The sequence below is a fragment of the Homo sapiens genome, chromosome 21 (assembly GCF_000001405.40).
Source record: "Homo sapiens chromosome 21, GRCh38.p14 Primary Assembly".
NCBI classification, from domain to species: domain Eukaryota; kingdom Metazoa; phylum Chordata; class Mammalia; order Primates; family Hominidae; genus Homo; species Homo sapiens.
In genome coordinates, this window is record NC_000021.9 from 43,400,747 (window position 1) to 43,428,049 (window position 27,303).

General features: G+C 56.0%; 1 protein-coding gene and 1 long non-coding RNA gene across 3 annotated transcripts, besides 6 other annotated features; one reads left to right on the forward strand and one right to left on the reverse strand.

Annotated features, from left to right (window-relative positions):
- Nucleotides 1-94: 94 nt before the first annotated feature.
- Nucleotides 95-4,183, forward strand: LOC124905028 (uncharacterized). Its single transcript, XR_007067888.1, has 2 exons — nt 95-2,464; nt 2,581-4,183. It is a non-coding gene; the product is annotated as an uncharacterized LOC124905028 (long non-coding RNA).
- Nucleotides 8,265-8,788: an enhancer, noted in NCBI's record as "H3K4me1 hESC enhancer chr21:44828891-44829414 (GRCh37/hg19 assembly coordinates)". NCBI's record gives its function as "activates a minimal SCP1, AML or CMV promoter by ChIP-STARR-seq in primed H9 embryonic stem cells {active_cell/tissue: H9 hESC(primed)}" and the evidence as "EXISTENCE:reporter gene assay evidence [ECO:0000049][PMID:30033119]".
- Nucleotides 9,313-9,836: an enhancer, noted in NCBI's record as "H3K4me1 hESC enhancer chr21:44829939-44830462 (GRCh37/hg19 assembly coordinates)". NCBI's record gives its function as "activates a minimal SCP1, AML or CMV promoter by ChIP-STARR-seq in primed H9 embryonic stem cells {active_cell/tissue: H9 hESC(primed)}" and the evidence as "EXISTENCE:reporter gene assay evidence [ECO:0000049][PMID:30033119]".
- Nucleotides 9,837-10,360: an enhancer, noted in NCBI's record as "H3K27ac-H3K4me1 hESC enhancer chr21:44830463-44830986 (GRCh37/hg19 assembly coordinates)". NCBI's record gives its function as "activates a minimal SCP1, AML or CMV promoter by ChIP-STARR-seq in primed H9 embryonic stem cells {active_cell/tissue: H9 hESC(primed)}" and the evidence as "EXISTENCE:reporter gene assay evidence [ECO:0000049][PMID:30033119]".
- Nucleotides 11,523-11,817: a silencer, noted in NCBI's record as "tiled region #3188; K562 Repressive DNase unmatched - State 8:EnhW". NCBI's record gives its function as "represses a minimal TATA promoter and a strong SV40 promoter by Sharpr-MPRA in K562 cells {active_cell/tissue: K562}" and the evidence as "EXISTENCE:reporter gene assay evidence [ECO:0000049][PMID:27701403]".
- Nucleotides 13,014-13,596: an enhancer, noted in NCBI's record as "OCT4-NANOG-H3K4me1 hESC enhancer chr21:44833640-44834222 (GRCh37/hg19 assembly coordinates)". NCBI's record gives its function as "activates a minimal SCP1, AML or CMV promoter by ChIP-STARR-seq in primed H9 embryonic stem cells {active_cell/tissue: H9 hESC(primed)}" and the evidence as "EXISTENCE:reporter gene assay evidence [ECO:0000049][PMID:30033119]".
- Nucleotides 13,597-14,178: an enhancer, noted in NCBI's record as "OCT4-NANOG-H3K27ac-H3K4me1 hESC enhancer chr21:44834223-44834804 (GRCh37/hg19 assembly coordinates)". NCBI's record gives its function as "activates a minimal SCP1, AML or CMV promoter by ChIP-STARR-seq in primed H9 embryonic stem cells {active_cell/tissue: H9 hESC(primed)}" and the evidence as "EXISTENCE:reporter gene assay evidence [ECO:0000049][PMID:30033119]".
- Nucleotides 13,737-26,385, reverse strand: SIK1 (salt inducible kinase 1). 2 transcript variants are annotated; one of them, NM_173354.5, is made up of 14 exons: nt 26,264-26,385; nt 25,277-25,446; nt 24,661-24,777; nt 21,228-21,291; nt 20,892-21,053; nt 20,497-20,621; nt 20,264-20,387; nt 19,488-19,711; nt 19,113-19,259; nt 18,607-18,732; nt 18,275-18,491; nt 17,514-17,795; nt 16,797-17,028; nt 13,737-16,371 (listed from the first exon to the last, which is right to left on the reverse strand). In NM_173354.5, exons 2-14 carry the CDS (start codon nt 25,430-25,432, stop codon nt 15,996-15,998), a joined length of 2,352 nt encoding a protein of 783 aa, NP_775490.2. In that variant the 5' UTR covers nt 25,433-25,446; nt 26,264-26,385; the 3' UTR covers nt 13,737-15,995. The 2 variants fall into 2 exon arrangements, with proteins under 2 accessions (NP_775490.2, XP_011527776.1); XM_011529474.3 differs by lacking the exon at nt 19,113-19,259.

Below are 27,303 nucleotides of genomic sequence, written 5' to 3' on the forward strand. Positions count from 1 at the left end.
GCAGGAGCAGCCCCTCCCAGCCAGAGCCTGCCCTCACAGTGGCTTCCCTCGCCGTGTCCAGGGCAAGGCGCCCCTCCCACCCCCAGCAGCCCTGCGAGGCTAAGGTCCCAGAAGCCTGGGGGAGACCCAGGAGCCATTTCCCAGGACGTAGCGGGGGCTTCCGGGCAGCCTGAGGAGGAGGGAAACGGAGCTTGTGTGGGTTCAGCAGGAACAGGCAGCCCGTGTCCCCCCTTGGGTCCAGCCTTCTGAGAGTCCCGCCTGCCAAGGCCCTCACCTCCCAGGGAAAGCACTTCACTTCAGTGCAGCTCCTTGCTGCGACAGCCAAGAGCCCCCAGAACAGCTCCGAGGAGGTCGCAGGACATAAGAAGCCCCAAGGTTGTTTCTGGGGGCCATGGGGGAGGAGAGCCCTGGGGCACCCCACAAAGAGGAGGAGGCAGAAGTGGGCAGGGAAGGGGAGGCTGTGGAGTCGCGGATCCCACCCGCAAGCAAGGGCTCTGCGCGCTGTTTTCTGTGTCTCTCCATCTGCCTCTGTCTACCCCAACAGGGAGGATGTGTTTATTTAAAGATGCCGCTACTCACAGCAGAAGTGTCTGTTTCAAAGCAGAAATATGATCCTGTTTGGGTTGGAGGAGGGAGTCATTCCATGAGGAAAATATTTCTTCTTTACAAAAAGAGGGCCCTGGAGCGTGGAGAGGGCAGGAGGGCGGACACCACGGGGCAGCTGAGAACTGGAAGCGGGGATTCTGGGCTCTGGGGCTAGGACCCCGGCCCAGGCTCTTCCCTGATAGCCCTGGTGACTCAACGCGTGGGTCTTTTGTCCTTCACGGATAGGAACCGGCGTGTTTGGGCTTCTTAGTTTCCTGTGGCTGCCGAAATTCATTCCATCACAATTCTGGAGGCCAGAAGTTCAAAATCAACATGTGGGCAGAGCCACGCACCCTCCATGGGTTCTAGCGGAAGATCCTTCCCTGCCTCGTCCATCTCTTCCAGCTCCTGGTGGCCCTTGGCTTGTGGCTGTGCCACTCCAGTCTCCGTCTTCACGTCCGTCCCCCTCGTGCCCGTGACTCTGGGTCCCAATTTCCCCTCCTGTCAGGTGTCTCTGTGACAGGACCCCTGTCACACAGGGATTAGGCCCACCTTGCTCAAGTATGACCTCATCTTAACTTGATGACTTCTGCACAGACTCTATTTTCAAATGAGATCACGGCAGGTGCCAGCGCTTAGGACCTGGACATACCATCTTGGGGGCACAATTCAACCCATAATACCCTCCTTCTTAAAAAGAAAGTGAAAGTGGAGGCCGACCTTGAAACGCCAAGGCCTTCCTCCTGCGGGGGCGGGGTGGGAGAGGGGCCTGGCCACCCGCTGAGCCCCGCTCTCAGGCAGCATCTCTGGTGGTAGGAGGGGCCCTGGGGGGCAGCACAGGCAACAAAACCCAGGATGCCCTAGAGGCCCGTCACTGCCCAGGGGGCTCTGAGGTCCGGCTGCAGCATCAGGGTCTGACCCGCTCGGACATTTACCGCCTCTGTGATCTGGACTGAAGGCTTCAACCTTTAGTTCTCCCTCTGTGAAGTGCGCTGACAGAGAGGCCTTGGTGAGGTCACCGGGACAGCTTGCCCGTGCCCAGCGAGGGAAGGAGGAAGATGGGGCCGGCCACTCCGCTCAGCTGCAGGACGACACCCTTATGTACTTCCCAGCTAACCTGAGACCTCAGTTTCCCCATCTGCACCCCTGTGAGGACAAAATCTCTGCTTTGCTCCCCACCTTACCCACGCATGAGGCCTCACCCTTTGACACAGCAAGATGAGCCCCAGGAACGGGAGGTGGGAGAAGGCAGCCTAGCCAGCCTCTACATCCAGAGGCCCACACCCCCAGCCTTGCGTCTGGGGAACGTCCCAGAGTCCAACCATCTCCCATCTGAGGGGCTTGGGGTCCTGCAGCTGCAGACGACTGCACCCTCAGGGCCGACACCCACCCTGGACGGGCAGACATGCACCCCTGCTTACGCCAACTGCTCTGTCTGGGTGCCAGGCAGGGACAATTCAGCCCTATCACGGGAGCACTGCCGGGGGCTCCCACCCACCTCTGGTCCTCCGGCCACGTGTGCCTCAGTTTCCTGACCCATAAAGCAGGGAGGCTGCGATGACAACCTCAGGGGGGAACATCCCCAGGGGCCTGGGCACAGTGGCGTTCAGGACATAAACCACTGTGGCCAAAGCCTCTGGGACAGGCCTCTGAGCATATGCAATCAGGAGAGTGGGGAGAAGCCAGTCGCTGGGTCCAGGAAGCAGAAGGGAGGGTGCTGAGGGCACCTGCTGTGGGTGCTTCCTTGGGGTAGAAACGAGACCAGAAGCCCCTAGGGATGAGAGCCTGGCCACGGCAGGGACCCTGGAATACAGATGGATCCCACATGCAGAGCGCGTCCCCGGGAGACCCCAGACCTGGACGGTCAGCAAGGCCTGGGGTGAGAAACAGCTCGGTCCCAGGTAGGAGGGGTGCCCAGAGCCACCACAGGCTCTGTGACGGGAGGGCCAGGCAGCCATCACCGCCCACTGGGCTGAGCCTGCCCTGCACTTCCAGCTCCTGCTCCCGGAAACTGCCCGGTGTGGGGGCCAGAGGGTGACCCCACAGCACTGTGGCCCAGAACACGCGAAGGCAAGCTTCACCCGACTCGGACCACTGCTACCGACCGTGGCCAGCCCACATCACTGGAGCCCGGGCTCTTTCCCCCGACTGGGGGCATTGCCGGGGTGTGTGCTGGGGTGCGCCCCCGTCCCCCACAGGACCTGGCCGTCCACTCCACTCACCAAGGGCAGCTCCAGCCACCCCCTGCAAGCTCTGCTGGACCCTCCCGCTCCCTCACCCATTGCTGTAACCTTCCCGCCATCCTTGGTGCCAACCCTACACCTGGGAGCCACAAACGCCTCTTGGATCCCAAGCCTCCAGGCAGGGTGGTTCTGAGCGGGGTAGCATCTCCCAAGCCCTGGCCAGCCCCGAACCCCCTGCACCACCCCAGCAGGGCCCGGGGAGCTGTGGTGCTCTGAATTCTGAGTGGCCGATGGCGCATCATGCCGGTGAGAGGTAATAATCACTGCCTGACTCAGACACGCAGACTGCTGGGCTGTCATGCCTATTTCAGGAAAATTAATTATACCCCATGCCGAGAGGGAACTCGCCCATTTAACGTCTTCAACGCACCTGCCCAGAATGCCATGGCACAGCCTGCCTGCACCCCTGGGCATGGGAAAGGGTGGGCAGAGCCCCCAGTTTCTCCAGGTGTCAGGCGGGCTTGCAGGGTGGTGGCCAGCAGGGCTCCAGGCCCTTCTAGCCAGGCCCGACCCCGTCACCACTGATACTGGAAACTGCAACCTTTGCCCAGGGAGTCCCCTTTGAAAGCCAAGCCTTTGATCCAGCTGAGTGCCAGAAAAGGCCTTGGGCCGGCCCTGGGGCTGGCCCGAGGACCTGGCTCAGGGACCTGGCTGGCCCTACTGTGGCATTAGAAAGCTCCGCACCAGTAAGCCGACCGTTGCCCACATGGGAAGGCTGCCCTATGCCCTCTGGACAGCTGGCCCTGCTGGCAAGCCCGTTTCCTTCTCCTACTTGCTCTATGGGGCCTGCTAAGATGGACAGCAGGCACGTCCAGGACCAGGGGCTGGGAGCTGGGCTTAGCTGCCCTGGGCTGAAATTCAGCCCAGGCCTCTGGGCCCCGAGCTTTACCTTTCCCTGGCAAGAGTTGATGTACACGTTGGCGTAACCAGGCTGCACACATCCCAGGACAAGCTTCCCAACTGTGACTAGCCATGGCTCACGTTTGCCTGGGTTCCCCCACCAGGCTCGCCCCAGGCCTGCCCTTGCTATGTCCTCAGACACCCGGGGGCAGGCACAGCTGTCACCCTCCTGGCAGCTGGAAAAGAAGGGCTTGAGCAGTTCTACAGCTCAGCGAGGCTGCAGGGCTTTGCAGGGAAGAGCCGCCAGGTGCCAGACGTCACGCGTGGCAAGGCAAATCCTACAGCCGGAACTGGCTGGCTCCGGTGCAGGCTTGGGACTTGTAGGCACACAGATCCACCCCGTCCTAGAGAAGCTGTCATTGCCACATCTACCAATTGAGGCTGTTGCATTTGTTAGTAGTTTTCAAATGTGTTTTGTCATTGTTATCATAAAAATAAATTTTATAAGAACACCATTCCACCAAACACAGTAAGAGTGATGGTTTCAGGCAAGCCCACAGCCTCCCTAATGCTTGCTGTGGCCCGGCGTCTACCATCTGACCACGAAGACGTGGACAGAGGCGTGTGCACCCCATCCCCTTCCCACGTAGAGATACAATGGGTAATTAATGCACAGTTGACCCAGGAGATGACATGAAAAGAGGACATTCCCAGGAACAAAGAGGAGACCAGACAAACCAACTGGACACAGAGCAAGAAACACAGGCATGTCATTCACTACACTCAATACTACATGGGCTTCAGCAACCTACGTGTGGATAAAGAAACTGTGGTGTGTGTATATATATATATATATATATATATATGATGGAATACTACTCAGACATAAGAAGTAATGAAGTAATGGCATTTGCAGCAACTTGGATGAGATCGGAGGCTATTATTCTAAGTGAAGTAACTCAGGAATGGAAAACCAAACATCGTATGTTCTCACTTATAAGTGGGAGCTAAGCTATGAGGATGCAAAGGCATAAGAATGACACAATGGACTTTGGGGACTCAGGGGGAAAGGGCGGGAAGGGGGTGATGGATAAAAAACTACAAATCGGGTGCAGTGTGCACTGCTTGGGTGATGGCTGCACCAAAATCTCACAAATCACCACTAAAGAACTTCCTCACGTAACCAAATACCACCTGTTCCCCCACAACCTATGGAAATAAAAACGTTTAAAAAAAGGCTGTTAAATGGGCTAAACTCACCAATGAAAAGCAGAGATGGTTGGACTGGCTAAAAATCAAAGACTTAAAGTATGCTGTCTGCAAGAATCACACCTGAAAGACAAAGACAGACTGCAAATATAGAAATGGTCAAAGATACAGCATTCAAACCCTGACCCCGGGGCGGCTGGCACGGCCACGAACATCGCAGGCAACATAGACTCCAGGGCAAGGAAGATGGACGAAGACACGTGGAGACAGTTCATCAGTGAAGAAAGGGTCAGCCTGTTAAGGAGACCCACAGTCCTAAATATGCACGCACGTGATGGAAAGCTTCAAAATATGCAGCTGGAAATGAGAGCAGTGAAGACACAGATGAAGGCACGAGCTTCGTCCGCCACCTCACGCTCTTCCCCCAGCAATGAACAGAGAAAGAAGACAGGTCAGTGGAATGTAGACAGCTCCAAAAACAGCATCTCCAGCTCGCTCGGATGTCTGGAGGCTTCCCGACCGCAGCAGAATACGCGCTTTTCTCAGGGCACATGGTGTAGACCCAAGCAGTCAGCTGTAAATTAAAAATTAACAACTAAAAGTTACCTAAAAATGGCTAAGTATTAAATAATTAGAAATGGAACACATTTCTAAGTGACCCACAGGTAAAGAAGGAAATTACAAGAAAAACAGAAAACATTTTGCTTTTTTTTTTTGAGACGGAGCCTTGGTCTGTCGCCCAAGCTGGAGTGCAGTGGTGCAATCTCGGCTCACTGCAACCTCCGCTTCCCGGGTTCAAGCGATTCTCCTGCCTCAGCCTCCCAAGTAGCTGGGATTACAGGCGTCCACCACCACAGCCGGCTAACTTCTGTATTTTTAGTAGAGACGGGGTTTCACCATGTTGGCCAGGCTGGTCTCGAACTCCTGACCTCAGGTGATCCACCTGCCTCAGCCTCCCAAAGTGCTGGGATTAAAGGCATGAGCCACCGTGCCCAGCCTAAAAACAGAAAACATTTTGAACTAAATGAAAATAAAAACACAACACACCAAAACATACAGGATGTAACTAAAGGCGTGCTTATTGAGAAATCAGAGCTTTAAATGTTTATATCAGAAACAAGATATAAAATCAATGATTTGATCTTTTAAAAAGCTAAAGAAGAGAAAATTCAAATCAAATTAAGTAGAAAAGGGTGATAATACAGAGAGGAAATCAACTACATAGAAAATGAATAAGCAATAAAGCGAATCCATGGAACCCAAGGGTGGATCTTGGAAAATTAAAACAAATTGATAAACTTCCAATCAAAAAGATAAAAGAGAGTAAATACAAACCTTTAATATCAGAAATGAAATGGAAGACATTAGCACAGATTCGACACAACAGAAAGGTAATAAAGGAATATTGTGGACCAGGTGTGGTGGCTCATGCCTGTAATCCTAACACTTTGGGAGGCTGAGGTGGGCAGATCACCTGAGGTCAGGGGATCGTGAACAGCCTGGACAATATGGTGAAACCCCGTCTCTAAGAATACAAAAATTAGCTGGGTGTGTTGGCAGCCACCTGTAATCCCAGCTACTCTGGAGGCTGAGGCAGGAAAACCGCTTGAACCTGGGAGGTGGAGTTTGCAGTGAGCCGAGAGCGCCCCACTGCACTCTAGCTCGTGCGACAGAGCAAGCAAGACTCCATCTCAAAAAAAAAAGAGAGAGAGAGAGAGAATATTGTGGACTTTACACCAACAGACCTGACAACCCGGAGGACAGGAGCATGTGCCGTGACAGACGCGAACTTTCAAACTCACTCGAAAACGAAATCCCAGATCTGAATGGTTCTCAACCTACTAAAGAAACTGAATTTGGGATTCAAAACCTTCTGATTAAGAAACTAGGCCCACATGCCTTCCGTGATTTAAAGAAGCATTTAGGGACTCAAACATTCAAGGAACAAATAATAACAATTCTACACAAGTAGACAGTCAATACAAGGTGCAGAAATTGACAAGCTGATTCTAAAATGTATACAGAAATGTAAAAGACCTAAAAAAGCAAAAATAATTTAGAGAAAGAACAAAATTAGATGATTTCCACTACCTGGTTTCATTAAGATTTAAGCTATGAGGATAATAATAATCAAGACACGTGCTGTGCTGGCCAGGTGCGGTGGCTCACGCCTGTAATCCCAGCACTTTGGGAGGCCGAGGTGGGCGGATCACAAGGTCAGGAGATGGAGACCATCCTGGCTAACACGGTGAAACCCCGTCTCTACTAAAAATACAAAAAATTAGCCGGGCGTGGTGGCGGGCGCCTGTAGTCCCAGCTACTCGGGCGGCTGAGGCAGAAGAATGTCATGAACCCGGCAGGCGGAGCTTGCAGTGAGCCAAGATCGTGCCACTGCATTCTAGCCTGGGGAACAGAGCAAGACTCCATCTCAAAAAAAAAAAAAAAAAAAAAAAAAGACATGTGCTGTGCCACAGAACAGATAGATCCGCGGAACACAGCAGAGCCCAGAAGCAGACTCTCGAGTTGATGGTTACTTGATTTCTCACAAATGTGTCATATTAATTCAATGGGCAAAGCGGAGTCTTTCAGTAAACGGCGCTGGAACAACTGGTTATCCACAGAAAAAAATAAAAATAAACCTCAACTGCTATCCCGAACCAGAGGCAAAAATCAACTCAAAGTGGACAGAGCTGTAGACACGAAGGCTGAAAGCATAAACCCACTGGAAGGGCACACAGGAGAGCCCCCAACACTGGGGTAGACAGAGCTTTCTTGGATAAGACACAAAAAGCACCAGCTGCAGAAGATTAAATGATCAGCTGGACTTCATAACAATAAAAACCTTCAACTCTTCACTCTTCAAATGAAAGGCAAGCCACAAGGGAGAGAAATATTCTGTGTGTGGCAGGAGGAGAGGGTACAGACACATACACTCATGTGACAAAGGGACTTGGGTTCAGAATATAAGGTCAGAATATAAGGAACTCCAACAACTCAATAATAAGAATTCAAACAACCCAATAAAAATTAGCAAAGGTGGGGCACGGGGGCTCATGCCTATAATCCTAGCACTTTGGGAGGCTGGAGGATCACTTTAGCCCAGGAGTTCAAGACCAGCCTGGGCAACATCGTGAAACCCCTTCTCTACCAAAAATAATATACAAAAATTAGCCAGGCGCGGTGGCGCATGTCTGTACTTCCAGCTACTCAGGAGGCTGAAATGGGAGGATTGATTGAGCCCAAGAGACAGAGGCTGCAGTGAACCAAGATGGCACCACTGCATTCCAGCCTGGGTGACGGAGCGAGACCCTGTCTCAAAAAACAAAAACAAAAACCAGCAAAGATGCAAATAAATATGAAAAATAGAATGGCTAATTACAAGACAGTCAACATCACCAGTCATCAGGAAAATGCAAGATAAAATCATGATAAGACACCACGACAGACTATCCAAGTGGCTAAAATTTAAAACACTAACAACGCTAAGTGTTGGTGAGGGTTGGAGCAACCGGAGCTCTCGTACGTGGTGGGCAGGAACGCAAATAGGAGCAGCCCCGTTGGAGAGCAGCTGGGCGGCTTCTGTCGAGTGAATCGCTCTCATGCCACACGAGCCAGCCTCTGCACCTTGGCCTACATTACCCAATAGAAATGAGACACGTCCACACCAGGATTCACAGCAGCATCATTTATAATCGCCCCATGCCGGGAACCACCCAAACGTTCATCACCAGGTGAGTGGGTAAACAAACGGTGGCCTTCCCCACCACGGAACACGACTCAGCAGGAAACAGGAATGAGCTCCTGATGCGCGGCACGTGGAGGAAGCCACGTTTAATTATGCTGAGTGAGAGAAGCCAGCCCATCAGGAGCACACGCTGTCTGATTCCATTCCTAGGAATTCTGGAAAATGCAAACGCATGCCCAGTGACAGGAAGCAGGTCATCCGTTGCCTGGGGCCGGGAACACGGCAAGGGCACGGAGCGGAGAGCCCAGGGGAGCTTTCTGGGTGACAGGCGTGTTCTGTGCGTCAATTCTGATGGTGGTGACCCAGGTCGGTGCCCGGCAGAACTCCTTGAAGTTCGCACCAAAGACGACGCATTTGGTTCAGGTCACTGGGAGCTCGGTGGAGCTGATTTGTTCTGGGGCACATTTCTGCTGAGACGGATTTGCGTTCTCCCCTGAGCCTCACAGTCTTCCGGCCCCCCGCTCTGGAACCCAGGGCCCCGGGCTTTCCACTTAACCTCTTGGCTGGAAGGGAACATGCTCTGTGATCATAGGAAGGTACCTTCCCCTTCAAATTTCAAAGAAAAGCCCCTAAAATCTGCTGGGGAAGCCCATTCATTCCAGACCAGAACACTGCAAAGGACAAAAGGGGAATGGAGCATTTCTGGCCACCTGGGTTCCCTGAGTACTTTTTCTAAGTCCTTTCTTGTTTCTTGTTTCTTTCTTTCTTTCTTTTTTTTTTTTAACAGAAATCACATTCAAATAAGTGAAATAATAATAATTAGAAAAAAGTGAGTCAGACTGAGACCCCAGCAGTTCCCCTGAGGAAAGAAACTGAACATTCCCTACCTCCTCCCTCCCTCCCTCCTATCTCCCTCCTCCCTCCCTCGTCTCCCTCCTCCTTCCCTCCTCTCTCCTTCCCTCCCTCTTCTCTCCCTCTCTCCCTCCTCTCTCTCCTTCCCTCCCTCCTCTCTCCTCCCTCCTCTCTCTCCTCTCTTCTCTCCCTCCTCTCTCCTCCCTCCCTCCTCTTTCTCCTCTCTTCTCTCCCTCCCTCCCTCTCTGCCTCCCTCTCTTCTCCCTCTCTGCCTCCCTCCTCTCTCTCTCCTTTCCTCTTCTGTCCTCCCCTCTCCCCTCCCTCTCCCCCTCTCTCTTCTCTGCCAGGCGCCACACCAGCTGCACAGGCAGGACCCGGAGCCCAGCCCTCCTGGTCTCTGAAGAGCCAGACCTGGACACCTTCCTCAGGACCCGCCCGCCTCCGAACAGCAGACTCCTCCCAAGATCAGAGGTGGGGCCACAGGCAGGGCGGCTGTGCTCACCCAAGCCCTCACCAGCATGCCGCCTCAACACCCCGGTGTTATTCCGGAAGAAACACGAAGAGGCCAACTCTGTTTCTTCCACCCCAAGAGAGTCGGTTCCTCTTAGGTCAGATTCAGTTCCTGCCTCCGAGGGAGGCGAGCACGTGCAGAAACAGGTGGATCTTGCCTCGGCTCCCTCCAGGCTGGGCCCAGGGACCTCCCTCTGGCTGGGGCATCCCCTCTCTCCCCACCCCCACCCCGAGAGGCCAGTCCTGCTCCTGGGAGCCAGTATTTCTGGACTGCCGGAAAGCCTTCTTCTTATCCCGCGGCCCAGCGAGGAGAGCGCCAGCCGTTCAGGGTGACAGAAAAGCACAGAGGCAGGGCCCAGGCGCCTCCAGGCGAAGGCCTCCGCTCCCACCGCTGCGAGAGGAGGCGCGTCCACGACGGAATAAGCAGGCGGTCAGGTCGCCAACAATCCGGTCAACCACGGTGCTTCTTCCCTGGTGGGTGTCTGGCCCCGTTCTTGCTGGGGATGGCGCTCGGGGATGCCACCGTGTTTCCCCAGGGCCCACTGTGCACCCTGCATGTCGCGCCCTTGTCACGGGAGCGGCCTGCTGACCCGGAGCACGCGTGGCCGTCACAAAGGGCTGCAAAGCTGCAGCACCAGAACGCAAACTCAGGCGTGCGGCAACGGAGGCCACGTTCTCAGCCACCGTGCCACTCTGCATGTCAGCTGGCTGGGCGTGCCTCCGTCTTGTGTTAGCAAGGACATGGCAATCACCTGATTTGCTTTGGTTGAAGCTCCAGGCAGTACCTGGCCCCTCACCAGACTGAAAAAGAAAGTCCCAGAACCCCAGAACCCCGTATGGCTCAGAAGTGCCATCGAGTACTAGGGGTGCGCCAGGGCCCGGCTCAGCCCGGCCAAGCCCCAGCAGGAAGGAACATGTCCTCAACGAGAACATCCTGCAAAATGCCCGGGGTGGGTGGGGGATGCTCACGGTGCCAGACGTGGGCTAGGGGCCATAAAGGACCCTCAGGCAAGGGGCAAACACACCCATGGGTGTGGCCAGCTCCCTCTACCCATCAGGACCTCCCCAGTGGAGGGACTGAAATGACTCAGGAGCAGATCAAGGGGCCCAGGGCAGAATTCTGGAGTCCTACAAGGCCTGTGGGAGGCTCCCCAAGGGGGGCTCCAACTTTCAACCTGAGAAGTCTAAGCCTCTATCACCATCATCATCGCCATCGTCTTCGCCACCATCAGGAGTTCTGGAAGAAGCGCCCAAGCATGGGAGACACAGGGATGGTTTTGCCAGTGCTGTGTGTTAAGGAGCTGCTACCTGCTGGGGCTGCTTCAGTACCCTGGAGCACCATGAGACACATCTGTCCCCACGAGGAGCTGACCACTAGGTCGGGGAGCTGAGACATGGGCAGGTCACACCCTGAATTCGCATGCACGACACGACAAGAGGTTCCGACTCGAGGTTCCTGGTTTCTAAGGCTCCCAAACAATAAACACAGGTGCCCTCAGCACAGCCGCCCGGCTCCTTGTTCAGCAGATGCCACACAGCCCAACCTTGGTGTCCTGAGGCGGCCCCACTCTAAGCGGGGTGGAGCGACGAGGCTGCCTGGAGACAGAGCAGCTCCGTGGGCCCCCAGCTCCCCTGCCAGATTCCCCCACACAGGCATGGCCCAAGCAGGCACCTCCGCTCACTCAGGAGTGCTCAGCCCTGGTTTGGCCTCCCTGTCAGACAGCCTCAAGCCACTAAGCCAGCGGCAGCCACAGCCAGGACCTCGGAGGCTACTGCTTTGTTCTTAGAGACAGCAAAACCGCAGAGATGACTCAGAAGACAAAGAGCCCCCTCCCCGGCCTCTCCCACCATCCAGCTGCCTGAGGGGCCGTCGCAGTGCAGGCTCTCCCGAGGGCCAGGACGCCCTGTCTGAGCAGGGCTCCAGGAACAATGAGGCTGGCCCCGGCCACACTTATGCCCAGCCAACCTCAGCACCGACAGTGGCCTGCCCTGTGCCTGCCCCTGCCCATGGCTCCTGCCTGCTCTCCTCATGGGAACTGCTGCGCACTCACTGAGCATCTGCCTCCTTGAGAAAAAACTTTGTTTTCTTCTTAAAAACATTGTGGTCCCGGCGCAGTGGCTCACGCTTGTAATCTCCACACTTTGGGGGGCTGAGGTGGGCGGACCTCAAGTGTGAGGTCAGAAGTTCGAGACCAGTTTGGCCAACATGGTGAAACCCCATCTCTACTAAAAATACAGAAATTAGCCCGGCATGGTGGTGGGGGCCTCTAATCCCAGCTACTCAGGAGGCTGAGGCAGGAGAATCGCTTGAACCCAGGAGAAGGAGGTTGCCGTGAGCCAAGATCACGCCACTGCACTCCAGCCTGGGTGACAAAGCAAGGCTCGAAAAAAAAAAAAAAAGTAGTAAAATAAACGTAACATACAATGTATCGTTTTAACCATTTTTCGGTACACAGTTGAGTGCGTTAAGAACGTTCATACTGTTTTGCAGCCATCGCCACCGCCCAACTCCAGCACTTTTCATCCTCTTAAACTGCAATTCCCACCCATTCATCTCTGGCTCAGCAGCCCCTCCCCAGCCCCCGGCACCCCCCACTCCCCCTTCTGTCTCTGTGAATCTGTCCCCTCTAGGGCCCTCGAGTGTGTGTTCTTTTATGACGGGCTTGTTCCACTGAGCACGGCATCCTCAGGGTCCATCCTCGCTGGCAGCCATGCTGGGCTTTCCTTTTGTACGGCTGAGGCCTATTCCACTGTCGGCATGGACTACATCTTCTTTGTTTGTTTTTTTGAGACAGAGTTTCGCTCTTGTTGCCCAGGCTGGAGTGCAATGGCACAATCTCGGCTCACCACAAACTCCGCCTCCTGGGTTCAAACGATTCTCCTGCCTCAGCCCCCCCGAGTAGCTGGGATTACAAGCATGCACCACCATGCCCCGCTAATTTTGTATTTTTAGTAGAGATGAGGTTTCTCCATGTTAGTCAGGCTGGTCTCGAACTCCCAACCTCAGGTGATCCGCCCACCTCAGCCTCCCAAAGTGCTGGGATTATAGGCGGGACCACATCTTCTTGATCCCTTCATCGGCTGACGGCCCCTCGGGCTGCTTCCTAGTATGGCTGTCGTCATGCTGCTGTGAACATGGGTGTACAAACCTCTCTGGGCCCTGCCTTCAGTTCTTCAGGGTCCATACCATTAGGAGGAGCGGCCGGATCAGGTGGTGGTTCTAATCTTTGAGGAGCTGGTACACTGCTCTCCCATAAAGGCTGCGCCATTTGACCCTCCCACCAACAGCGCACAAGGGGTCCATTTTGGTAAGGACCACCTTAATGGGAGCGAAGAGGTTGAAGAGCTTTTTTTAACCAAAATATCCACCAGGTGACAACATGAACAAGTCCTTTGTTCTCATAAAGCAGCAGTGTGTGCCCTCTTGCTAGAAGGTGGTGAAGTCTTTCAGAGACCAGGAAATGGTTTGGCTGTGAGATTCTTCCAACTGCTTAATTTATAACCAGACTCAGAGAACCTGGCGGAGGATGGGGTAAGGATGGATGGTGCCGGCAGCCCCGGGCGGTGCTGAGACTTTCAGTGACTGAGCCCGGCCACTGGGGAAGGGTCCTGAGGAGGGGGCAGACCACGGGGCCACCTGTGGCTGCCGCAGGGGGAGGGGTCCTCTGCAGACGGAAGGCCATTAGTTCCCTGCAGTGAGGTGGAATGCAGGAGTTGGCTCCCTGCCCTCCTCTTTAAGATTTGAAACTTCTACAAGCCTGGAGGATGTGGCCTCTCAGGGAAGCCGCTTGGAAGGAAAGAGCTCCCAGAGAGATGAGAGAGAGAGGAAGGGAAAAAGTCAAGGTTTTTTCCTTCCAAATATTTTATTTAAATATTAAATTAAAAAACATACATCAACTAATCATTTGGCATACATTTCTCATGTTAACATAAGAGATAAAATAATTCAGTTATGGTAAAAAAAAAAACTATGTACATCTCAATCAGATCACGTAGTGTCTTTAAATAGGCTATTGCATTGCCGTCTGTATTACAGCACTGTCAAGAAATCTACAAAACACACATCACACACTCTTAAAAAAACAAGTAAAACACGCCTTTAACGTCCTCCAAAAGAGGTTCCACAGCAATAAGAAAAAACAAAAACCACCGTGAAAGTAAAGTGCTTGTCATTGCTTCAAAGAGGAAACACACAATGGTTTCTGAGGCCTTTGATCTATGGCATTAGAACAGAAATCATTTTAAAAAGGGGAAGGGGTTTTGTGTTGGAATCAGTTGTGCTACCTCTGTAAAAATGAAGGCAAGGGCCTGGCTGCCCCAAGATGGTCTGGATTCTCTCCCATCCCAAAAACTTCTTTATGAGCGAACAGGAGACTTTGGTGTTTTCTCTGCGGCAAGGCACCTGGTCTGCCCTCCGGACAGCCTTTCGCCCAGTCTTTGAAACAGCCACAGAGCAGCAGCAGCAGCAGCAGCAGGAATGGGGGCAGCCAGCTTCCCTGCGGCCCGGCACAGGCACAGCCCCCGGTGGGCACCAGCAGGCCAGGGATGCAGCCTCCTGCACTGGGCCCGCCTCCCTACCCTCAAGTAACTGGGTCAATCTTTGGCTTTTAAAAATACCCGCCTTTCCCCTTTCTCAATGCCTCTGTTTAACACTGCAGGGTTTAAGAAGCCGAAGTAGCTGAAGGCACCTGGGCTGGGTTTGGGGGCGGGGACTGGACTCAGGGAGCAGCATTGCCTTCGTTGCCTTCCAGAGGCTTCTGGCTGGTGGAGCCCCACGGAGTCCACCTGCTAAAGGTGCGCCCAGACCTGCCAGGTAAGGGCCGCCCCTTCCTGCCGCCTCCACCCCAGTGCTGAGGGAGCGAAGGCCCTGGGGCCCCTTCCTCAATGCACACCTGTGCTGACAGGGACGCTTCTTAACAACAGGAGCGAGGGAAGCTGAAACCTGGAACACAAACGTATAGTACAAAATGTAACAAATAAGTAGTGTCTACCTGTCTCCCATGTAGATACATATACAGGATTTGCTTTAAAAAAAAAACAAAAACTTAAAAACACTGACCTAAACCTCTCACTTTACCTTCCTTGAACAAAACCCAAAAAGCCTAGGTGGGGGGTGGGGAGGGGGGTCCCGGCCCAGGGCAGGCACCGCCCTGAGCCATGAGCCATGAGCCATGAGCCTGTCTCCCAGCTGCCCAGCCCTACAGTCAGCCTCCAATATTGCACAACTTCACCCAAGTCAGGTGTTCTTGTTGGACCCCATCATGAAATGCATAAACGTCAGCAGCAGCGGAAACGGGAGGTGCAGCAGGAAGAAGCTTCTGGGCTTCCGCAAGGGCACGCAGGGGCTCAGGGCCAAGTGACCCTCAGGACGGAGTCCCCAGCACTTTGAAGTCACCTCTGCCCTCTCTGAGGTTCTTCCTGCCGTTCCTCCGCAGAGTCCTGGAAAACTAATCCTTGAGCAGTTTATGAAACTTCTCAACTAAAATAAGAAAAAAAAGTCTTCCAGGTTTTGATTTCAGGGGAGAGAATTCCTAGAATCTGTAGATGATCTTTGCCTGGGCTGCTTTAAAACTGATACATGAAGCAGAAAGTTCACAGTTTTCCTTAAAGCAGAAATCAGGAAGTGGAGAGCGTTGACTAAAGAAATGGATAGTAATCAATGCACGCGCACACACACACACACACACACACACACAAGCGGACAACAATGCGCCCGCTCGTTTCCGTAGACGTCCGAGGTAATCATCTCAACCACGACGAACCCAGAGAGAGGGGCCGAGATCCCCACACCACGGCACTGCACGTGTTCCCTCCACCCCGCTCCCCTCCTGCCCCCGCCCCCAGACACGCCCCTCAATTATCTTTCTTCCTAAAGTTTCCAGTCCCTACTCAAAGTTGAGGTCACTCAGTGCAAGAAAAAAATAAAACAAAAATAAACTAAAAAGCCAAAACACCTAACGTATTGCTTATTTCGCTTCTAGAAAGTTCTTGGCTTTGAGGCCAGATGTCTTCACCTCCTCTGAAGTTATTGCTGTAAGAGTCAGTGTCCGTGCCAGGATGCAGGGCTGCCCTCACTGCACCAGGACAAACGTGCCTAGGGAGCAGGGCATCAGGTCCTCCATCTCACAGTCCCCCTGCAGCAGCCCCAGGGGCTCACAACCTGGGGCCAGCCTGGCCAGGCGTGGTGGGGGCACAGCGGGGAGGGCGGTGGGGCCGGTGCCAATGTGCAGGTGTGTGTCCAGGAGCTGCGCCGCTGAGGCCACCGGGGACGCGCCGGTCTGCAGGAGTGGGGGCGGCAGCAGCGGGAGCCCCGACGTGAGGAGGGTGCTGGGGAGCGGGGCAGCCCCAGGGCCATCACAGGGGGCGATCACAAACGGGGCAGGGGCCGGCTGGGGGGCCTGGGAGCAGCCGGGTGCAGCGGCCGGGTGGTGCTGTAACTGGAGCAGCCTGTGGGAACAGAGGACAGGTGGTCACTGCGCCGGCTCGCAGGGTTCTCGGGTTTCCGAGTGCCCGTGTGGCAGGGCCCGCCCGAGGAGCTGCCAGCCGCGGCTGCCGAGGGCAGGTGCGTGGCTGATCCCTGACCGCGCCCCACCTTTCATTCTCCACCCGGTTTCTCAGCAGCTCAGAGATGCGGCCACAAGGCGCCCTCGCTCCCCGCCACCCTCACCCACCCAGGGACTTTAAAGGACACGCCCGCCTGCTGCACCCCCATGGCTCAGCACCTAGGACCTACGCCCCACACATCTCCCTGGCTGGGAGCGGGGGTGTGCACTGGGCTACAGAGAGGAGGGAACCACTTAGCAGATGAGGTTCCTCGAGGAGATAACCTGCCGTGTGCCCACCCGGGGTCCCAGGGCGGGGGCAGGCCCTACCTCTGCTGCTCTAGCACCTCCTCCAGCAGGCTCCAGCCCTCCCGGCTGCCGGCTGCGCCGCCGTGCAGGCCTGGGCTCTGTGCAGGGGCGTGGAAGGGGCTCAGGCCGCCCCTGCTGGCCCGGCTGGCGGGGGCCTGGCACACCTGGCGAGCCAGCCCCTTGATTTTGTTCAGTCCCAGAAACCCTTTGGTCCGCGTGGTCTTCCTCAGCTGCTGCCGAAAGGCCTTCAGCCCTGCAGGGAGAATGAATCAGGAGGTCAACGGCCACCCGGCTCTCAGCCCAGCATCCACGGCCCTTGGCTTAAGGGGTTTCCAAGCCTCAGGTTGGGGGTAAGGAAAGGACGGGTGACACAAGCACGTCTGGACAGGAGTCTGGCACCTAAGCCCCAGGATGGCGTGGAGGCAGCCGGCAGCCAGGGGCCCTCCCTCCTCCAAGTCGGGAGGTGCTGCCCAGCACAGAGTCGTCTCCTGTGCTTTCAGAACCAGCCATGGAGGCCGCGTGCTCAGGGACCCATGTGTGTCTATCCCAGCAGGCCGTGACGCCCCGAGCCACCAGAGCACTGAGCACCCCAGCCTGCCCAGAGCACTGAGGGTCCCACCCAGGCCCGGTGGAGAACAGGGGGTGCCATCTGCCATCACGGACAAAGTCACGTACTGCCAGAGACACACATGGTCCCCTGGGGAAGGTGGAGGTAAGTGTGGGAGGAGCGTGGCTCACCTTGAGTCAGTGAGGTGTCCGACGCCCGCCGTCCCTCCTGGAAGCTGACAGGGAGCAGAACAGCTCCTCCCAAGCCCCCCTGAGCCTGCAGCACTGGGGTGGCGGACTGCGACCCCAGGAAGGGCGAGGCCAGCCTGACCGGGGAGCAGGCGCCCAGCAGCCCCTGAGTGGCCGGGGTGCCACTGAGCCCCGCGGGGCTTTTGCTCGCAGAGAAGGTCAGACAACTGTCAGAGCTGGTTCCCTCTGCAGGACTTGCCGTGGTGGAGGGGGAGACGACTATACCTGTGGGGGGAGGACAGCGCTTTTGATGCTGCAGTGCAAAGGAATAGGCTCCCCCGGCCACTGCTGGGCACACATGGCTGCGCTGGCCTCCCCATCCCCACCATCAACCTGGTGGGAAGAGGGCTCGAGGCCACCAGAGCCCAGGGAGCCACAAAGGCAAGCCACCATCACGGTGCAGCTGCAGGGGGCAGGTCATAGTGGGCCTCAGGCCAAGGGGCTGCCCTCCCGGCACCCAGGGGCGGCCTGGGGAGGACCCTGCTGGAGGCCAGACCCCATGCTGTATCCTCCACTGGAACGACCACATGCAGGGCAGGCTCTAAACATCAACTGTGTGGTCTCAGGGATTAAAACAAATGGCAAATCCTGAGAAGTCCAACCTGAGAGGCTGCCGGGCAAAACGTCCATTCTAAATTAGCCCACCCTCACGTCGACCGTAAGCCTATCCACCGGTGTCCTCCTGGGCCCCCGGGGACACTTACATGGCGCGGTGAGTGGGGAGAGGCGGGTGGAGACCTCGGCCAGGGTGTGCCTCCGGCCCGTGCTGCTGGGCAGGGACTCCTGCGTGTCCTGCTCCTCCTCTAGGCCCGGCCCCTGCCTGGCCTCCTCACTGATGGCTGTGTCCAGCAGGCTGCTTGGGGACACGGGCCGGGGCCGGAACACTCCGCTGCAGCTGGCATCCACCGGGAAGAACAAGGGCTGCGTTGGAGAGACACAAGCCAGTGACTTCTCGGACTCCAGGTGACCCGGGCACACCGGGGGCACCAGGGCTGGGCTGAGGCGAGCCCTCTGCACACCCGCTGTGGGCACTCACCCACTGCAGCGAGCTCTGGAGCTCACAGTCCATCTCGGCCTGGAGGACGGACTGCACCAAGGTCTGCGGCTGCGGGCACAGCAAGGCAGGTCGGAAAGGGTCGGTGGAAAGACCTTCCTGAGGCACCTGGGGCCGGCAGACGGGAAAGACGCTGTCAGGGGAGCGACTCCGGACCACCAGCGCCATCAAGAGAAGAAACAAGCTGGCTTCTGTCTGGAGTGCAAGCTGCCTCGCTGGTGGGCATGACAGCTGACGGAGGGACACTGGCTGGCCAGGCTGGGCTCAGGACCAGGTGCTGGTGCTGCGCTGCCAGAAGGTGGCGTGACAGGCCGGCCCCAGGGATGAGTCAGGGACAAGTGGCCTCTGGGCAGAGTCCAGCCCCCAGCAGCTGGCACCCCCTTCCCCACGAGGCCTGGGACCCACTGCCCACGCAAGGAACCGCCCTCCAAGCCGGTGCCTGACAGGGGAGGGAGCCTGGGGCCTGGGAGGAGACTCCTCCCCCTCACCTCCAAACCACTGAGGTCCGAGCTCCGAGGCCGCGGCTGCCTGGCAGGCCCGGGGCGGGCGCACTGGGCATTCCGATACTCCTTGAGCCGCTCAAGGAGGAGGTAATAAATGGCAGCAAAGTGGTTATAGCTGCTGTTTTGCAGTGACTGGGAACAAGAGGAGCAGAGATCAGCATGGGGATGGCGGGGAGCCCCAGGGCCCACCCGATCCCAGGTTATTCTTGGGTGACTGAGAATATCCTTTAGTGGGGTGGACAAGCCGGCCCCTAAATTAGCCTGTGCTCCCGTTTTAACTCAGCTGGTGAGTGCCTGCTTCCCCTGAGACAGCTGCCTAGCCCCTGCGGGTGAGGCCAGGGCAAGTGTGGCCAGGCTCACCTCCACCGTCCTCTGCCGGTCCACGCCCAGGGTCTGCATGATACCCAGCGCCTGCTCATCGTAGTCGCCCAGGTTGGAGGTGTAGCTGTGTGCGGAGAAGGCGGGGCAGGCGGGTCCCGGCAAGCAGGGCTCAGCCCGCATCCACCGGTGCTGCCGGATCTGGGCGATGGTGATGCGCCTGGCGGGGTCCACCACCAGCATGCGGCGGATCAGGCTCTCACAGTCTGTGGAGGGGCCAGGAGGCTGAGCCAGGGCGGCCGGGACCTCGGCTGCGCTCCCACCCACCGCCCCACGTGGTTTGACACGCCAGGGCCCAGGAGCAGGGGCCGGGCCATCGGCTCAGTCCTGCCACCCAAGGGGAGCCATCAGCCAGGGATCCAGACCCTGGGGGCTGCCACACTTTGTGTCCACCACACAGAGAACCACTTAGGTTCACCCTTCTGCCGTGCCCCACACCTGAGCACCAGGTGGACAGGCATCTTTATGACACAGAAAAGCCGGGTGAGCCACAGCCAGTGGGTTGGACTCAGGGATGATGCCAGCACCCTGGGTGCGGGTACTGGGCGGGGACGGCAGGCGCAAGGCACAAGCCTGTGCAGCAAGGGCACCCGTCCACCCTCGAAATAGGGCACTGAGAAGGCATCCATGGGCTGGGTTTCTCCCGCAGCCCACAGTAACCTGGGCCTGATTCCCAGACTCAACAAGGACTCAGAAGCCAGCCACGAAGGGGCTGCAGGAGACACAGGCCCCTGCCCAGGCGAGACCACACGACTCACCTTGAGACATGAAGAAGGGGATGCGGAAGCGGCCCTCCAGCACCCGCTGTCTCAGCGTCGGCAGGTTAGGCCCATCGAAGGGGAGAGAACCGCAGACCAGGACGTACAGCACCACGCCCAGGCTCTGTTGAGGACCACAGAGCCACATCAGCGCCAGGGCGGTGCCCCCGGGAACACGGCGCCCTCGGGGAACGCGGCCTCGGGAAGGGGGTCTGCGCGCACAGGGCTCCTACCCAGATGTCCAGCTGGGGGCCTTCATACTCCTTCCCCTCAAAGACTTCCGGGGCGGCATACGGGGGGCTCCCACACCACGTGGACAGAGGCTCTCCTGACTTGTAGAAATTCCCAAATCCAAAATCTGAGCGGCAAAGAAACAGATGGATGAGGTTAAACGGCAAATGGCAAGGGGCTGCGGTTTCGGCACAGGGGCTGTGGTTTCGGCACATGCCGGGAAGCTGGGGCTGCTTGCGGGCACACTCCCACCCCGGGGCCTCCGTGCCTGCCAGCTTGATGTCCCTGCTCCCACCCCGGACCCTCCGTGCCTGCCAGCTTGATGTCCCTGCTCCCACCCCAGACCCTCCGTGCCTGCCAGCTTGATGTCCCTGCTCCCACCCCGGACCCTCCGTGCCTGCCAGCTTGATGTCCATGTTGCCATCCAGCAGGAGGTTCTCGGTCTTGAGGTCCCGGTGGACGATGTGATGGTCGTGACAGTACTCCACGGCCGACAGGATTTGCCAGAACTTCTTCCGCGCCTCGTTCTCACTCAGGTGCCCGTTGGAAGTCAAATAATCTGAGGAGCCACAAAACAAAGCTACAGCCCCCAGGGCAAAGCCTGCCCACCACCCATGGAGCCCTGGGGAACACCGCGGGGTCCTGGGATGTGTGGCCCAGACACTGGCCGCGCAAATCCAGACGCGTTCGTGCCATTGGTTTTCAACAGATACTGAAAACGAGTGTGGCTTACCAAACATTTCTCCATTTTTAGCAAATTCAGTGACGATGTAAAGCATGTCCTTTGTTTCCATAACCTAAAGAAGAAAGACCTGACATTTAACCGCACAAAAAAGGCACAAGGCAGCGCTACAAACCATCCACCAGAACCCCAGGAAATTTCTAACTTCTCTAGGACAAAGGCATTCATCATTTAAAAATGCAAAGAAAAAGAAAAATTTCTCAAATAAAAAAAAAATAGGAGATTCCTACTCACAAAGACAGCTTTGAAAAATCAGAGGTGAATTCCTCACTGACTTGCCTATCCTGATACACCTTTGCTCTCACAAAAGGTCTAAATATATTAGAATTCCCCTCTGTGGTCATATTTAATTCAAGACACCTCACATACAATTTGAGAATGCTTAGGCCGGGGCATGGTGGCTCACGCCCTGTAATCCCAGCACTTCGGGAGGCCAAGGCAGGAGAATCGCTTGAGTTCGAGACCAGCCTGGTCAACACGGCAAGACCCCATCTCTACAAAAAATACAAAAACTAGCTAGGTGAGGTGGTGGGCACCTGTAATCCCAGCTACTCAGGAGGCTGAGGCAAGAGGATCATTCGAACCCGCAAGGCGGAGGTTGCAGTGAGCCGAGATCGTACCACTGCACTCCAACTTGGGCGACAGAGCGAGACTCCATCTCAAAAAAGGAGAGACAGTATTCTGAAGGCTACAGAGGAGGAGATTGCTGGAAGTCTGCTGGGCTTTATAGAAGCCTAGTAGGCAACAGATGATTCCAGCCAACGGTCAGAGCCACCTGGGTAATAGAGAATGCACACCCCATTCCCACTCGCTTGATTGACAGGATGAATGACGCTGTGGGAACCCAGCTTTATTGACAGGATGAATGAGGCTGTGAGAATCCAGCCTCATTCACTCAGCATGTAGCCATTCACTCAGCATGTAGCCACACAACAGCCATGCCAACATAGCCCTTTGAAGTTCATTCACTAATCAATAACTTTATTTTACTTAAAAAGAGATTTAAAAATATAACTTATGTCTGTGAGTATTGAAAAATTTTGGAGAGGATGAGGCAATATATTCTTATGAAAAAAGATTTTTTTGGGTTCAAAATATAGTTATTCCTTTAAAAAGATGCTTTGTGCTGGAGGTGGTGGCTCATGCTTGTAATCCCAGTACTTTGGGATCACCCAGGCTGATCACTTGAGGTTAGGAGTTCGAGACCAGCCTGGTCAACATGGTGAAACCCCATCTCTACTAAAAATACAAAAATTAGCCAGGTGTGGTGGCGCGTGCCTGTAGTCCCAGCTACTTGGGAGGCTGAGGTAGGAGAATCGCTTGAACCCAGGAGGTGGAGGTTGCAGTGAGTCACGATCCATAGCGCCACTGCACTCCAGCCTGGGCGACAGTGAGACTCCATCTCAAAAAAAAAAAAAAAAAAAAAAGATGCTTCAAAGATTGCTGCTTTGAGTTATAAATCTAAAAAGAAAAGTGTTCTATAAATTCTAGCAGTTTGGCAAGAATTTTAACTGCCCCGCCCCTGTGGGTGGTACAATAACTCTAAGACCACTGCTGACCCGTCCCCAACTGAAGAAAGGGAGGAGGAGGAAAAGAATTAAAAGTCAAAGTGTTTGAACTTTTTGAAAACTTGAAAAAAAGAGGGAAGTGTCTCAGCAGGGTTCTGGGGCCCCGGCCAGCGGAATGAAAATTAGACACTAGTGGCCGGGCGCGGTGGTTCATGCCTGTAATCCCAGCACTTTGGGAGGCCGAGGCGGGCGGATCACAAGGTCAGGAGATCCAGACTATCCTGGCTAACACGGTGAAACCCTGTCTCTACTAAAAATACAAAAAATTAGCTGGGTGTTGTGGCGGGCGCCTGTAGTCCCAGCTACTTGGGAGGCTGAGGCAGAAGAATTGCTTGAACCCAGGAGGCGGCAGTTGCAGTGAGCCGAAATCGCGCCACTGCACTCCAGCCTGGGTGACGGACAGAGACTCCGTCTCAAAAAAGAAAAAAAAAAAAAAGACAGGAAGAAAGAAAGAAAAGAAAGAAAATTAGACATTAGCATCAAAACCAGAGGAGTAAAAGTCATTGCTACACCACTGAATTCTATCATCTCCCAACAGTTAAGAATCACATACAGCAGCAGTAAGAAAATGCACCTCCAGAAAAGACCTCAGCAGCAAACACATGGGCAATTTGTTTCTTTAACGGAGCTAATTCCACACAATGGGCAAAGGAGAAGAACAGGAAGAAAAGGAAGGTACTACCATTAGGGTTCAGCCCTTGAGCAAAGTCAAAAACAAAACCAGCTCAGCCCACTCCTGAGGAAATGGGCTGGGCACGCTGCACAGGCAGTACACCAGTGGCCATGGAGCACACAACTTAAAAATGACAACAGAAACAAAACACAAACCAGGCGCACACGGCATGAATTCTGTGCTTAAAGACACTGAGCAAACTGTCGTAAGCTCCACCAATACTGCTACTTTTATTTTCAATCTAGTGCAGAGGCTTTTGGGGGATAATTTCGAATCATAATTCTCTCTCCTACCACACTGTACACCGAGCTGTCCTAATTGCACAAACACACACAACAACATCCCAGAGTCATCTCACATTCCATTTCATAAGAATCATTACGAGGAACTTCAACCCAACACAAATGGATGAAATAGCACCTGCAAAGAACTTCTTCTGCAAGAAGACTTGATTTCACCTTGCAAAAGTGGTCATTTGTCATTAGGGAGGTGTAAATGATTGCTTTGCTGTTCTAATTAAATTAGTACTTATTTCCTGATGATATAATTTATTAATTTCAACATGAGAACAAAAATTAAGTCACAAAATAAACCAACAGAGAGACAGGGCAAGCCATGTTCCTAGCATGGATTAAATGACAAGCTCCTTGCTCTTACTATGGAAAAGTATTTTCATCTCTCCGTTTTTCATGGAAGAGTTTAAATAGGGAAAACAAATGCTCACTACTGTCCTTGCAAAAATAAACTAATGAAAACCAGTAAGAGCAGCTGGCTTTAAAGTTTAATAATTATCTGCAAAGGCAGAAGTTTCCAGTTTCACTCAAATTTGTCCTTTTATACTAAATGCGTGACCTGTGGCAATACCTACAGATAAGTTTGTCTGTTTTCATAGTAAAGCAAATTTACAACAGACTTCTACACATTTAAAACTGGATCAGGTTAGGATACTAAATAAAATTCTAATGAAGCAAATCTCAATTATGATCCAAAAGCAATAAAATAATTGTAAATATATCTGCACAGCCTATAAAAATCAATCTATTTACCTTATACAACCAAATGCCCAACTTCCACACACTCCCCAAAAGGGAAGCCACCTTCAGAAATTGCAGACTTATGCTGTTGGAAATAAAATATAACACATTTGCCAGGATTAGCAGAGAAAGGCAAGCTGACCCCTTACCTGGTAAAGCTTTATGATGTGTGGATGGTTCAGAAGCTTCATCAGCTGAACCTCACGATAGATTTTCTCCAAATTGCTTGAATCTAATCGTGTTTTATCAATTATTTTTATTGCAACCTACAAATTTAAAAAGAAAAAGGATATTCTGTGGGTTTTTTTAAAAAAAGAAAAGAAACCCTCAACCTAATTTACACATTTCATTTTTTGCAAGTTAATTTCTCAACACTCTGTCTCCAGAAGGTCACAAGAAGTTGGGAAAACATAACCAAAGTAACCACTAATGTTATTTAAAATAATCAGAGTTAAGTAAGTGACTTAAGTATTTGCAGGCTCACTTTACAGGGTTTAGCTCTGAGTCCATGAACCACTGCAATCTTAGGTTGGTCCTTTTTTTTGCTATTATCCTCTCTGCTTTCTCCCAATATATGTCCAAATTATGCAGCAACATAATATAAAGCATTATTTTTCTTTACCGAACTAAAAACGGTTACTATTTACCCACCACGACAATCAAGCCTGGAGCAGTGAATCTGCATGGGGTCCACCCGCCAAAGGTCGGGTCGCCCCGGGTCCAGTGGGGAGGCCCCGCCGGCTGGGTCCCACCGCCCCCACGCACCTGCGTTTTGGTGACTCGATGCCGCGCCAGCTTCACCACCGCGAAGTTGCCTTTGCCCAGGGTCCGCTCGATGTCGTAAAAACCCACCCGGAGGGGCTTCTGCTGGCCCTGACCCTGGCCCGCGGGGTCCGCGCTGAACTCCGACATGATAACCATGGCTCCGCGCGCACCTGCGGGGCCGCACAGAGCTCAGAGCCCACCAGCGCCCCCGCCGCCCGCGGTCGGCTCCATCCGTGCCCGCGGAGCCCCCAGTCCCCACGGGACGCAGGGACCTGCTCCCACGCCTGTCGCCCCCACTCTATCCACGGGCCCCTCCAGCCCCGTGGGAGGTGTGGACCCGCCCCCGCCGCCCGCTCCACCCGGACCCCCGACCCTCTTGAGCCCCGCGGGGCGCACGGACCCGCTCTCATAGAGGCCCCTGCCGCCCGAGTCCGGTTCCGTCCCGATCCCGGGACCCCCTGAGCCGGGATTCCACACTCGCCTCCCGCCGCCCGCTGTCGGTTCCGTCCCCACCCTCGACCCCTTTAGCACCTCTGGGCGCGGACCCGCTCCCACACCTGGCCCTGCCACCCGAGGTCGGCTCGATCCGGATCCCAGGACCGTCCCCTGCCCCGCTCCCACACCCTGCCCCCGCCGCCCGCGATCCGTCCGGTCCCCACCCCCGACATCCCAGGCACCTCGGGGATCGCGGACCCGCCCCCCACACCCGGTATCTCCGCCCGCGGTCGGCTCCAACCTGACCCCCGGCTCCCCAGCCCCTGAGCCCCGCGGACTCACTCCTACCCCGGCCCCCCAACAAAGGGGAGCCCGAGGGCGGCCAGGCCGCCAACCCCGCCCGCGAACCCCGCGCGCGCAAGGCCAGGGACCCTGCGCGGTGGCTGCAACCCCGAGCCCCGGCCCGGCGCCCGCGCGGAGCCCCCACGGCGGCCACCTCCGCCCGCCCGGAGCCCGCCGCTGCCGCCGCTGCCGCCGCTGCCGCCGCCTCACCTCCGCCGCCACCGGAGCGCCCAGGCCAGGAAGCCGCCCGCTCGGCCGCTGGCGCTGCTCGGGTGCCTACTGCTCCGGCTGCCGCCGCCGCTGCTGCTGCCTCCGGGGCCGCGCCGCATGTCAGCCCGGAGCCGCCGCGCTCCGCCGCACGCGGCGCCCGGCCCCGCCCCGGCCCGCCCCGGCCCGCCCCCCGTAGTCCCCGCCCCCTGCCCCGCCCCCGCCGCCCGGGCGGGGGCCGCCCATTGACGTCGCTTTGACGCCAGAGCGACGCGCGGCCGAGCGCCGGGCGGAGGGAGAGCGGGAGATCGGGCGGTTGCCAAGAGACTGGCGGCTCTGACGCGCGCGGGATGAGGCCGTTGCCCTGGCGACCGCGGGCCGGTGACGTCAGGGGCGCCCGCCGCCCGAGGCCCGCCCGCCTGCGCTCCGCCGGGCGCCCCCTCCCGGGCGCTGGGGGCACTGCGGGCGGCCCCACCGCCGAGGGCGCGCCCGCCCCTCCACGCTCGGGCACTCGGGCCGGGTCCCGCGGGCGCCTTGTGCTCGCTCCCTCCAGGAGGGGACGGCTCTCGGGCAGGGGTCGCCGGCCCCTCCACGCGGCCTGCGTTCGTCCAGACTCAGAGCCTCGGGACGTGCGGGGGCCCGGGGGCCTCGCGGGCTCGCGCGTGGGGCTGGCGGCGCGGATGCCCTGGGGCGCTGCAGACCCCGAGAGGCCGCTTGCCCGCGGGGACGTCAGCCGCTTTTGCTGTTAAAATCTGAAATGTTCAGCAAGTTAGAAACTTGAAACCTAAGGAAGCGTGACCGGCCGCTCTGGAAGCCCCCGCCGCGCGGCCGGTCCCGGCCCCGGCCCTCAGCGGCGCTGGCGTCTGCGCGTCCCGGGGCTGCCCCCGCAGCATGTGGGGCTGGGACCCTCTTCCCGCGCGGGCCCCGGGCGGACGCTGCGGGCGGTGACGGAGCCAGGCCGGCCGCCTGGGTAGGGGACGGGGGCGCGGGACCACTTGCTTGCCCGTGGCCGATGCCTCATCCGAACGGAAAACGTTTTCTTC

Bases quoted from the DNA above. Each gene is read 5' to 3' on its own strand.
- SIK1 (NM_173354.5), bottom strand. From the start codon at position 25,432: ATGGTTATCATGTCGGAGTTCAGCGCGGACCCCGCGGGCCAGGGTCAG. The intron at 20,622-20,891 runs GCACGGAGGGTC...TTTGCCGCTCAG, and splicing joins CATGGACATCAAGCTGGCAG to ATTTTGGATTTGGGAATTTC. The intron at 18,733-19,112 runs GTGAGGGGGAGG...TGCCGGCCCCAG, and splicing joins CGGACCTCAGTGGTTTGGAG to GTGCCTCAGGAAGGTCTTTC.